This window comes from Homo sapiens, chromosome 8 (genome assembly GCF_000001405.40).
Source record: "Homo sapiens chromosome 8, GRCh38.p14 Primary Assembly".
Lineage (NCBI taxonomy): Eukaryota > Metazoa > Chordata > Mammalia > Primates > Hominidae > Homo > Homo sapiens.
In genome coordinates this window covers 110,974,874-110,988,438 of record NC_000008.11, presented here as the reverse complement: position 1 = coordinate 110,988,438, position 13,565 = coordinate 110,974,874, and the positions used below count along the sequence as shown (strand labels likewise).

The 13,565-nt window shown below is 34.3% G+C and overlaps 1 long non-coding RNA gene across 2 annotated transcripts in view; it reads left to right on the top strand.

Annotated features, from left to right (window-relative positions):
* Positions 1-13,565, top strand: part of LINC01608 (long intergenic non-protein coding RNA 1608) — an 89,744-nt gene that overhangs the window by 38,995 nt on the left and 37,184 nt on the right. Inside the window, exon 5 of one of the 2 annotated variants that reach the window (NR_125416.1) lies at positions 5,299-5,489. The exons of the other annotated variant lie outside the window; for it this stretch is intronic. This is a non-coding gene — a long non-coding RNA (long intergenic non-protein coding RNA 1608). Of the gene's footprint in view, positions 1-5,298; positions 5,490-13,565 lie in introns of those variants that run through there. 2 annotated transcript variants of the gene reach the window in all.

The window sequence follows — 13,565 nt, the reverse complement described above, 5'->3', positions numbered from 1 at the left end:
TAAAGAATGTTTTCATAAATGGTTAATATTTCGCATACTCAAAAAAATAACTAAAATGCACAAGGAAGAGATGGAAATCCAACATGGAAATCAAGTGAGTCCACTGAATTGATGGAAAAGAATGGACAGGATGAATCTAAGTAACTTTTGATCTTGTTTTAATTTTGAGTTATTTAAAAAAATAAATAAAATTCTTAGCCATCTCTATGGCAGACCTAGTTAGACATATAATATTAGGTTTGTCAGTAAACTTAGGAGGCCATGTAGTAATGAACATAATCCTGAATTGGTGGTTTTAAGAACAGATTTCATGTTCCTCATTTTCCATACAGGATATGACATTGGCCGGTGTTTTGATGGATTTGAGTCTCTGTTTTTTACTAAAATGAAAGTAGTGTGACGAAGTAATAATAACACTGAATTTAGAAATAAAACCAACATGCAAATATATGTATTTGCATGTTTCTTGAAAGTTATTGTAAACTTATACTTTTATTGTCAGAATCTGAGTGACTGTGTTTGTAAATGGGAATGATTATTATGAACCACAGGAAATTTTTTTTAGAGTCAAATAGGTTAAATGTGAGATTACTTTATAATGTATGAAACAATATGCAAACATATATTTACAGCACTGGTGACTTTTCAAAAATAAGTCCCCTGACTGCAGAAAAAAAAAAGCATCTTACGTTTTTTCCTAACTCCAGTACTGATCACAGTGCCTAGATTGTAGCATACATTCAAGTATCATTGAACTGCCTGTACATATTAAAGCATGGAATTAGGTATTTCAAAATATAGAAATAATGTAAAACCTTATAGGATGCATATACTTTTTGGCTTTAGTGAATAGATTATGCTTCAAAAAGTATTATTAATATTTTATAGACATTTTGTTAACCAGAAAACTCTTACATTCTTGCCCATAGCAATTAAGGCATTGTCTACTTAAATCAGTAAATGTTGGTACATCATAACTCCACAGTAAGATGGTTTTATTTAATGGTTCCGTCACACTCTGTTGAATGTAGTGCTTTTTATGAGATTACCCTATTTTTAATTGTTTCATTCACTCGGATCTTCAGAGACAATGTAGATAGGAATTTAAAAATCACAGTTAAATGAATATCCTTGTAACTTACATTTAGTATGTGCAGGTATTCAATGTTTAAGCTTCCATTTAAATGTCTTTTTTTGGCAATTCTCAAAGGAAATAGAGTATGTGACACATGTAAGCCAGCCACAAACTATATTAGTTTTAGAAGATAACTATAATATTTATTTGCATGATTCATTTTTACTTATAAAATAGTTATACAATTGTGGACATATATAATGCTCTAGAGACAAGAAATAGCTTATAAGTATGTTTTCAGAAATTTGAATGTAATTTCATTTTGCCTAGACCATTTTCTGAGCTGGCCCATACTGAGAAAAACATATATGAATTATTTAATGACATGTTTTCAATACTGCTTTTATTACAAAACATGATAAACAAATTTTACTTCCCGCAACAAATAATAACTTGCTCAATATGCTTTTGTAGTAGAATTTAGATATAGTTCCAAACAAAAATTTCCAACTTATTTTTGAATAGTCAAATATTGCTAATATAAATTATGTATCTGAAATAGAGTAAGTTGAGATTATTTACTCTGAAATATAGTTGAGATTATTTACTAATTTATTATTCTTAATTTTCCGCAATCTAGTAACATTTGTGAAAAAGTGAAATGGTAGTTGCTGGGTATAAATAATGTATTAATTCACCAGGCTATTAAATATGTCTTAAAATAAACATGTCATTATTTGATCAGAACAGTTGCTTTACTGTTATTTTTAAACAGTGGCAAGTAATTTTTTATTAAAAGTATAACTCAAAAACATTAACTATATATGCTGTTTGCAGATGACATGATTGTATATCTAGAAAACCCCTGCGTCTCAGCCCAAAATCTCCTTAAGCTGATAAGCAAATTCAGCAAAGTCTCAGGATACAAAATCAATGTGCAAAAATCACAAGCATTCTTATACACCAATAACAAACAGAGAGCCAAATCATGAGTGAACTCCCATTCACAATTGCTTCAAAGAGAATAAAATACTTAGGAATCCAACTTACAAGGGACAAAGGGACATGAAGGACCTCTTCAAGGAGAACTACAAACCACTGCTCAAGGAAATAAAAGAGGATACAAACAAATGGAAGAACATTCCATGCTCATGGGTAGGAAGAATCGATATCATGAAAATGGCCATACTGCCCAAAGTAATTTATAGATTCAATGCCATCCCCATCTAGCTACCAATGACTTTCTTCACAGAATTGGAAAAAACTACTTTAAAGTTCATATGGAATCAAAAAAGAGCCTGCATTGCCAAGTCAATCCTAAGCCAAAAGAACAAAGCTGGAGGCATCACACTACCTGACTTCAAACTATACTACAAGGCTACAGTAACCAAAACAGCATGGTACTGGTACCAAAACAGGGATATAGACCAATGGAACAGAACACAGCTCTCAGAAATAATGCCACATATCTACAACTATCTGATCTTTGACAAACCTGAGAAAAACAAGCAATGGGGAAAGGATTCCCTATTTAATAAATGGTGCTGGGAAAACTGGCTAGCCATATGTAGAAAGCTGAAACTGGATCCCTTCCTTACACCTTATACAAAAATTAATTTAAGATGGATTAAAGACTTAAATGTTAAACCTAAAACCATAAAAACCCTAGAAGAAAACCTAGGCAATACCATTCAATACATAGGCATGGGCAAGGACTTCATGTCTAAAACACCAAAAGCAATGGCAACAAAAGCCAAAATTGACAAATGGGATCTAACTAAACTCAAGAGCTTCTGCACAGCAAAAGAAACTACCATCAGAGTGAACAGGAAACCTGCAGAATGGGAGAAAATGTTTGCAATCTACTCATCTGACAAAGGGCTAATATCCAGAATCTACGATGAACTCAAACAAATTTACAAGAAAAAAACAACCCCATGAACAAGTGGGCAAAGGATATGAACAGACACTTCTCAAAAGAAGACATTTATGCAGCCAACAGACACATGAAAAAATGCTCATCATCACTGGCCATCAGAGAAATGCAAATCAAAACCACAATGAGATACCATCTCAAACCAGTTAGAATGGTGATCATTAAAAAGTCAGGAAACAACAGGTGCTGGAGAGGATGTGGAGAAATAGGAACACTTTTACACTGTTGGTGGGACTGTAAACTAGTTCAACCATTGTGGAAGTCAGTGTGGCGATTCCTCAGGGATCTAGAACTAGAAATACCATTTGACCCAGCCATCCCATTACTGGGTATATACCCAAAGGATTATAAATCATGCTGCTATAAAGACACTTGCACACGTATGTTTATTGCAGCACTATTTACAATAGCAAAGACTTGGAACCAACCCAAATGTCCAACAGTGATAGACGGGATTAAGAAAATATGGTACATATACACCATGGAATACTATGCAGCCATAAAAAGGATGAGTTCATGTCCTTGGTAGGGACATGGATGAAGCTGGAAACCATCACTCTCAGCAAACTATCACAAGGACAAAAAACCAAACACCGCGTGTTCTCACTCATAGGTGGGAATTGAACAATGAGAACACATGGACACAGGAAGGGGAACATCACACACTGGGGCCTGTCGTGGGGTGGGAGGAGAGGGGAAGGATAGCATTAGGAGATATACCTAATGTTAAATGACGAGTTAATGGGTGCAGCACACCAACATGGCACATGTATACATATGTAACAAACCTGCACATTGTGCACATGTACCCTAAAACTTAAAGTGTAATAAAAAAATTAAAAAAATAAAGAATTTCAGACAGTATCTGGCATGTGGCAAGAGCTCAATATTTAGCTTTTCTTCTTCTATTGCTTATTCTGGATATCTGGTATAAATGGAATTATACAATACATGGCCTTTTGTATCTGACTTGTTTCACTTAGCATAATGTTTTCAAGGTTCATCCATGTTGTAGCATTTATCAGTACTTCATTGCTTTTTATGGTTGAATAATATTCTACGATATGGATATATCACATTTTGTTTATGTATTCATCAACTGATGGACATTTGGGTTGTTTCCACCGTGTCGCTGTTTGCAAAATAGAGTTGCTATGAACATTGGTAAAATAAATAAATAAAATATAATAAAATAAAGAATTTTCTGGATATTTTGATATGATTCCGACCACTTATTTTAAATGATCTAAATTTAATACCTCCAGATTCACAAAGTAAGTAAGATAATTATCTCTAGTACTTCAGAAACATTTCTTGGTTAGCACTGATGCACACTATTCCAGAAAGTCTGTGCATTCTGATGTTCTTGAATTTAATTCACCAGAAATATTCTTTATGACTTGTTGACTGAAAAATAACAAGTTCTAAAACAGCTTGCCTTATATTCATAAGAAAATAAGAATGTGAACCTTAGTGCATGATACATGAAAAAATCATGTATTTCAGTCATAGAAAATGACTAAATTTGCTTTCTATTTTTAAATACAATATCTACATGTACATTATTAAACTAACCAAATGATAATTTTTTTTATTGTAATTTGCTTTCTCAGGTTGAACCAAATGATAATTTCAAAAACAGATAAGAATGAGAGGAGAATAGTATAAGCCAATTTTGCTTGTGTTTATTAAAAGTCGTAAATAAAATATTAACTACTTGAAAGCAATAGCATATGAAAAATTATAGCACCATACTTGTATTATTGGAGGTTCAGTGACTAAAGTGTTAGAAGACAAACTAAATTGCAGAGGGTTGTCAAAGACAGATACTATTTTTCTCATGCATACTAGTAAAAAAATAAGTGTCCAACTGATGCTATGGTTCTACCATTCTTGGCAATGTGGATTGTCAAGGTGCTCCAATTATGAGTGTGAATTAAGTCTATAATAAGTAACTTCCAGGAAATTACCCAGATATTTGTTCACATCACTTTCACTCTCATACTTCAGGCATGAACTAAGCCATATGGCTAAAATGAGCTGCAAAGGAAATTAAGAAATGCAGCCTTCTGATGAGCAGCTACGGCCCCTCCAAGTACACACACATGCCCCAAACAAACAAGAATGAGGGAGGGGAAAGAGAGGCATACACACAAACAGAAAGAGAGAGGGAGAGAGAGGGAGGGAAAGAGAGAATAGATACTGGGCATAGTTCAGTAATTGCTATGATGACCTCTTCTACCTAAAGTCTGGATCTGAGTGTACCCATTATGCCCTTCCTCCACAGAAAGAACACTAATCATTCCTAAGGAAGAAAATTAACAACGCCGTGAGTTATAATATCTGGCTGAAACTGAAGGAGCTCTGTGTAATTAAAAGTCCTTTCTGCCCTGCCTGGCCATGGTTCTGTATGCATTGATGTCTTACAAACTGAAAAAAAAAAAAGTTATTTTCTCATCTCCATTCCCTAGCATAGACATATTACATGATGTGGAATTGAAACAAGAAAATTGCATTTTAATCTTCCACTCAGAACATAGAAGAATGAAACAAACAAACAAAAAATACTCTGTTGTCTTAGTCTACCACAAGCAAAATCTGGCAGTCTCTTTGCTTTGGTAATGGCATAAATTCCTTGATTAGCCTATAGGATAGCCCATTGTTCTGCTCTTTTAGTGGAATAGCTAGCAATTGCTTTGTCATTTTTTCCCCATGGTTCCTACCATTAGTGTTGGGAGGTTTCTTCTTTGTTTTTTTGAGAAAGAGGAAAAAGTTGTTATATTTTCATAAAAACTTAAATTTCATCCAAAATACTTGATTTTCATGAAGAAAGTAAATATCTCTGCCCCTAGTATACATGTGTGGAAACTTTCAGAACCCTGAAGATAAATACATTTCAAACAAGTGAGTTTGAAAATATCAATAGCAAAATAGGAAGTAAGCTAATTAGAGAGGTAAGAACTAGATGGCTTAGCATTCCAATAATAATATATAACCTTCTTTAAGAGTAAAATCTTGGTCAAAAGACAGATGAAAACTCCAATAAAATTTCACAACTCATGGAAAAGTCTATCTTCGTAATTCTTTATGAAGCAAACTATATATATATAAAACATATATATATATATATTTGAGACAGAGTTTCGCTCTTGTTGCCCAGGCTGGAGTGCAGTGGTGCGATCTTGGCTCATGGCAGCCTCTGTCTCCCGGGTTCAAGTGATTCTCCTGACACAGCCTTGTAAGTGGTTGGGATTACAGGTGTGTGCTATCATGCCCGGCTAATTCTGTATTTTGAGTAGAGACGGGGGTTTCTCCACGTTGGTCAGGGTGGTCTCGAACTCCCGACCTCAGGTGATACCCTCGCCTCGACCTCTCAGAATGCTGGGATTAGAGGCTTGAGCCACCACGCCTAGCTGCAAACATATTTCTTATATTTTCCAACATCACAAAATTTTACTGAGCTATGATATGTACTAAAAGCTGATAAAGATGGTGTTGTTATATTTAACAGTACTCTGAATTTTGTTGCCATTTCTAAAATTGTATTCAGAGGAAATTATGCCCATGTTTCTATAGAGAGAATTTTAAAAAATACATGAGCATAGAAATTTGAGCAACATTGATTAAGGTTCCATAAAATTGAAGCAGGAAATAGTATAGAATATACTTTTGCTCACTCTATTAAAATAAGTCTCTCATAAGTATGCTTCAGTTAAGTTCGAAGGGTAGGAAAATTAACCTGGAACGGGGCATTCAGATATAAGTAAGTTTATTTTGGAGAAATTTCTATGTCAGCTGAGATTATTTTCTATAAAAACAGAAGAAAGATGAATATCACTAATGATAGCACAAACCACTAATTAGAAGGCAGTATGTAGAATTTTTCTGGAAAAATAAAACTATAAATGACAAATTAATTTTAGCAGAAATTGTAAGAAAATGCAATGAGGGTAATAGGAATGTTATCTTTGAATACAATGGACAGCAAATTGTAAACTGAATGTATTCACTAACACAAAAGAGAAAATTACTTTTAATGATTGCCTATTGTTTCTCTCTACATAAAGTTTGAGTTTCATGTCTGATGACCTTATGGCTTTTTAAATAGACACTTCATGTGACATCATTAAATTACTTTATACAGTATTACTACATTTCTATGGTAAAATTTAAGCAAGAGATTAATTTTGAAAGACTTTCAGAGAAAGACTTGTAAATACAGACATGAGACATAAATCTGATGTGGGCCTTTGCTTTGTTTTGCTTATTTTCTTTTAGTTTTTGTTTAATAAAAAATTGGGGTTTGTAAAAGTTTAGAATACTCGCAGGAATGTTGTCTAGCAACATTTTTGGTTATATTAGTAACATAACTACATGGAATAACAGCAAGAAATTTTCTTCCATGAAAAATTAATTTTCCATTTCTATTGCAAGGGGAGAGAAACAACTAAGTGCTGCATATATCCCCCAAATTATATTTAATTATTTCATACTTAAATTTTCTTTGTTACCACAGCGTAAAGGGTTGTCACAGTGCAATGGTGGCACCTATTGGCATATGGGATATATGACATTAAACTGTCTGAATTTTCCCCAAATTTTCTCTATTCAGTGCATATAAGTTCTAGAATTGAAGAACGCATGGCTAAAATCAGCACTTTCAATTTTAAATGAACAAGTTTAAAAGCCAACACTAAATGCAATGTGTAAGGTGGCATTAGTCATGGAGGTTTTCTGACCATGGGACATTAAAAATAATGAGAAGAGAAAACAATGTCAATATTTATTTCACAATAATGCTTTTGTGAAACAGTGAAATAATGAAAAATCAGAAATATAGATAGATAGATAGATAGATAGATAGATAGATAGATGCAGATATACACCATAAAGACATACACTAATCAGGGAGCTATTCACTGGAGAGAAAAGATTAAACTAATCAGGTTAATAATTATGTATATATAGAAAAGTGAATCATATACCATATTTATAGACTCACCGTGATGGATCAGTTTTCTCTATATAACATCCAAGCATAAAACGTGGAGAAATCAGCTAATGAGGAGTTCAGTCAGATCTACAAAACAATGATAATTGATTCCTTCTATATAATTTTTCTTCTTAGGCCTGGATATATTGTATATAACATAATATTTAATTTGTACTATTTATGATATATAATGTGCAATATATAATGTAAAATCATAAGATTAATTTTGGAACACGCTCTTACGTTATTGAAACACAGATTAATAATGTATATATTATATATTACTCATATATATCATTACTGTATATATATTACTCATGCTTTCAGTCACATGAAGAGAGCTTCTAAGTATTAATGTATGACATACTAAAATGAATGAGCGTTCTCCACAAAACATACTTTCATCACCCAATGAATATTTATATTATGTTGCCAATTACAGAGTAGGAAGTATTGGATATAAATACTGTTCTCATGGAGCTTACAGTGTTAATGCATTTGTCTTTTATATCTAATACTTATTATATTATTTCCGTTATTATAATATAAGGGAAATGTATGTTATAGTAATGACAAGGATAATAACAATGATGCAATGAAAGAGGTGATCAAGGACAAGGGTTAGAATGACAAAAAGAGAAAAATAAGGTAGTGTTAAATTATATGAAGACAAAGTAAGCAAGAGGAGTTGGTAGATGGATTGTGGGTGGGGGTGCACAATGTTAAACAGGTGATTCATGTAGTCTCCAGTGATATGACATTCAAGCCAAACCTGTATTAGGTTAATCAATGCTGAATCCATTTTTTCTAATGTGGAGTGAATAGTGATAGCACAATTTCTAGAGGAAAATTTAGGTTTGGGGTAGAAATTTAGAAGTCATCAAAATATGTATTTTATTTATGCACAAAAGACTGGATGAAAGTACTAAAAGAGGGTAAATGTTTACAGAGAAAAGAAGAGTTCCAAGCGTTCAGTCCTGAAGTACTCCAGCATTTGTGAGATTGATTAAAACAGAAAGAACTAGAATGAGTGACTTAAAAAAAGAGAATGTGGTTGTTGGAGAAAACACAGAAGAATGTGGTATCTTCCCCAAGAAGAAAGAATAAATAAGAATTTGTGCTAATGATTGCTGATAGACCTAATATGAGGAAAACTGAGTGATTACTATTGAGTTATCAATATATGTACACCACTGGTGACCTAGAGAAGTTTGGTGAGTGCCAGAGGCAAACTCCAGATTGAGCAGATTCAAGAGGAAATGGAAACAAGTGAATAGAAGAAGTGAACAGAGCTATAAGAGTACAGACAGCTTTATGTATGATCTCTGCTCTAAAGAAGAGCAAGGAGATTGGGAGGCCGAGGTGGGTGGATCACCAGGTCAGGAGATCGAGACCATCTGGGTTAACACGGTGAAACCCCGTCTCTATTAAAAATACAAAAAATTAGCCGGGCGTGGTGGCGGACGCCTGTAGTCCCAGCTACTCGGGAGGCTGAGGCAGGAGAATGGCGTGGACCCAGGAGGCGAAGCTCAGTGAGCTGAGATCGCGCCACTTGCACTCTCAGCCTGGGCGACAGTGCGAGACTCCATCTAAAAAAAAAAAAAAAAAAAAGAAAGAAAAGAAGAGCAAGGAGAATTAACAAACCATCTGTGTTTTTTTTTATGGTTTGTTATACAAGTGGGTAGAGACTCAGCAACACTCTATGTCTATTAGCAGAGTTTCTAAAGTACAATATAGTAAGTGGACTAAGGGATAGTTCAACTTGGTCAGATTAAGAGGCAAACATCATAATTACAGCTATGCTAAGTGGGCAGTCAGCATACAATAAGCACTTTTCTAAGTGCTTTACATACATTGTCATAATTAATCCCCATCAAAAAACATAGAATATCATTATCTCATTTTTATAGAAAGAAACCAAGCCATAGACAAGTAAGGGAGTCCTACGGCCATACCACCCTGACTGTGCCTGATCTCTTCAGACAAGTAAGGGGCTTGCCAGTTTTCAAAGGTACATAATCAGAGAACAAAAGCCCAAATAGTACATTCCTCTTACCAAAATGAATACATTTTCCACTATCAAAACTCTTTCTTTGTGAGTAGAAGGAAAACAACAAGGAAATCATGCTTGAGCAGATGATATAGAACATAGAATGGCTTGCAAAGAGCTTGCAAAGAGGTTGTGGGAGGTTTTAAAGCTTATGAGTGTGACTGTGGCTTAGAATCATTTTTATTTCAAGAATGAAAATGAAATTAGTTTGGGTAAAAAATGATGGGACTGTCTTAGAACGTAGAATATAATATGGACAAATAAATATTTAATATATGAGAATGGAACACAGGAGAGGAATTCTAGTCGTAAGTACCACTTTGGATGTCATCTGCATAGCATTGATATCCATTAGTTAATGAATTCTATAGTATTTGATCACCTAGTCTCTGAGTACTGAGCTACATGTTACAAGTACAGGAGTGAAATAGATAGACTTCTGCTGTCAGCAATTTTACTGAAAAATAGACAATATTGATAAAGAAGCATAATTAAAATACATTGTGGTGATTGCTTAAACATCAACATATTATATCAGCATATGTAAGCATCTCTAATCTGTATTTGGAGGATGAGTGTTAGAGAAGGCTTTCAGAGTAGATGAAATTGTTATTTTTTTAAGAGAAAACATGCAAAGAAAAAACTAACCCAGATCTTTCGAAAATATCTGAAAATAAGACCAAGAGAGTCAAAGAAGGAACAATTTTCTAGTAGAAGATGAATAAATCTATAGACTTTTCTGCAAAGCAATGTGAAATACTGATTATAAAAGGAAACATTTAACAAATACCACCTAAAGCTTTTTTTGATATAAAATTAGAAAAGTACATATGACTTGCTACTGAGTAGTTTCCTCTCTGACAGAGGGAAGGCAGCTCTCTGAACATGTTAAATTAAAGAATAAGTGCCTGGTTAGGAAGCACAGGCAGGAAATAAGGGCTAAAGCTTTCAAAAAGAAGAAAGGTAAGTACAATACTGAGGGAAAAATGTAAAGGCATTGCCATGAAGGCAGAGAAATCACTTACACAGATCAGAATCCAAGAACAGACCAACATAAAGTCAGTCTCTAGACCCTGAGCACTGAATGCCCCCGAGTGAACAAAAAGAAGGCTTCATAAGCAGTGAGCATCAAACATTAGAAGGAATTTCAAATGTGTGTGATCTCTTTATCCTGATGGATCTTCAATTGCATAATTTTCCATTAGATTGGACAAAGATTGTTGACCTCCCTCTGGTGGACAGGAGTCACCTAAATAAATGATCTGTGGTACATATACTGCCACCTTCTCCCTTTCCCCATACCTATATGCACAGCTTCTGAGACTAAAACAAATGCTGATTTATGCTGCCAACAATCTTCCAATAGTCATAGACCTTACTTCCAGAACAACATACTCTCAAGTAGACAGAGTGAAAAGATTGATCAATCCATAAGAGATCTCAAGTCTACTTTCAAATGTCATTTTGCTTATGATTGAAATGTTTTAAGATAGCCTCATTGAACTCAGCATTATTTCATGCTGGACAGCTCTCTACAGTCTATACCATTCTAGTACACTACAGAATGACATCTTATTCAAAGATGGATACTAAAGTTAGCAGAAAAGACAGATGTCACATAATTGAAATCACAGTTGGGAAGAATTTGGGAAGACATCATGCACATATTCAGTGAGCAACTAATATAGTTTTTATTTGCTAATTTTTATTTTATTTTTATTTGAAAAATAACAATGATAAGAGTACAGTGTGATTCTTGATATATGTATACATTATGCAATGATTCAATTAGGCTTATTAACATATCCATCACCTGACATACTTATTTTTTTGTTTGGTGAGAGCATTTAAAATCTACTCTGTTAGTAATTGTGAAATATACATTACATTACTATTAACTATAGTCACTATGCTCTGTGATAGATCTCAAAAACTTACTATTCCTGTCTAACTGAAAATTTGTATCCTTTTACAAATATCTCCACACTTTCACCCCACCCCCACCTCCACGGCACAGCTCTTGGCAACCTCCATTCTACTCTCCTATTCTATGACTTTTTTAGATTCCACATGTAAGCGAGATGATGTAGTGCTTTGTCTTTCTGTACCTGACTCATGTCATTTAGCATGGTGTCTGATAGTTTTATTCATGTTGTTGCAAATGATAGGATTTCCATCTTTTTAAAGGCAAAATGGTGATCTAATGTGTATACATACCACATTTTCTTTATTCATCCATCTGTTGATGGACACTTAGATTGATTCCACATCTTTATTATTCTGAATAGAGCTGTGATAAACATGGAAGTGCATATACCTCTTAAACATACTGATTTCAGTTCCTTTGCATATACACCGAGAAGGGGGATTGCTATGCACTTTTTATTTTTCATACAAAATTGGAAACCAATACTGCATTTTTGATTGAGGTCTTATTTGTAAAAGGGGCTATGTTGAACCTTGACTAGGATCTTTCTGTCTCTGAACACATTCAAGTTGTCAGAAAATTCTCTCACCTACATCTGCCCATCTCTCCTCACCTCCAGCACTTCATCTTGAGACCAAACTGGAAAAGTCTTTTATTAGAATTTTCCCCCAATTGACTCCAATCAGCTTTTCCTTCTCCTACCCCATTGTTCCCTTTAATTCTCAGCACAGTAGGCAGGGATCCTGTTAAATAAAAAATATAAAATGTCAGCCTTCCACTCAAACCTTCCTAATGGCTTCCCATCTTGAGGCAGGAGAATCACTTGACCAAGAGATCAAGACCAGCCTAGACAACATAGTGAGATCCCTGTCTCTACAAAAATTACAAATAATAACCATAATGAGGCGTGGTGGTGCATGCCTGAGGTCTCAGCTACTCAGGAGACTGAGGTGGGAGGATTGCTTGAGATCAAGTCTGCAGTGAGCTATGATCATACCACTGCACTCCAGCCTGGGCGACAGAGAAAGACCCCATCTCAAAAAAATAAATAAGAAATAAAAGTAAAGTAAAATAAAATAAAAGTGAAAATTTTGATTAATACCAGGTAAACTTCTGCATGAGGAAAACCCCACCCCCTCCTTTATCTTTCTAAACAGATTCAAGCAGGTCTCACCTCAGAGCCTTTGGACTTGCTGTTCCCAATGACAGATGTGCTCTCAACCAAATTTCATTGTGTTAAGTTCCTTTACCTCCATTGGTATGTTGCCTACATTTCGTCTTCCCAGTGTTGTGGCCAACACACAGGCACATACATGCACGTGGACACACACACACACACACACACACGTCTTTTAGCTTTGATTGGCTTATTGCACTAATCACATCAAATGTATCACTTATTTAGCCTTTTTTTTCTTTTCCATAAAACATAAGCTCCATGAGGACAAAAATTTTTGTCTGTGTTGTTCATTGTTATATCCTCAGTTCCTTAAGAATGTTAGAGGCATAACAGGTATTCCATAAGTATTTATTGAATTAATGTTATATACATATATATTGTTAAACTTTAAAATTAGGCTCTAC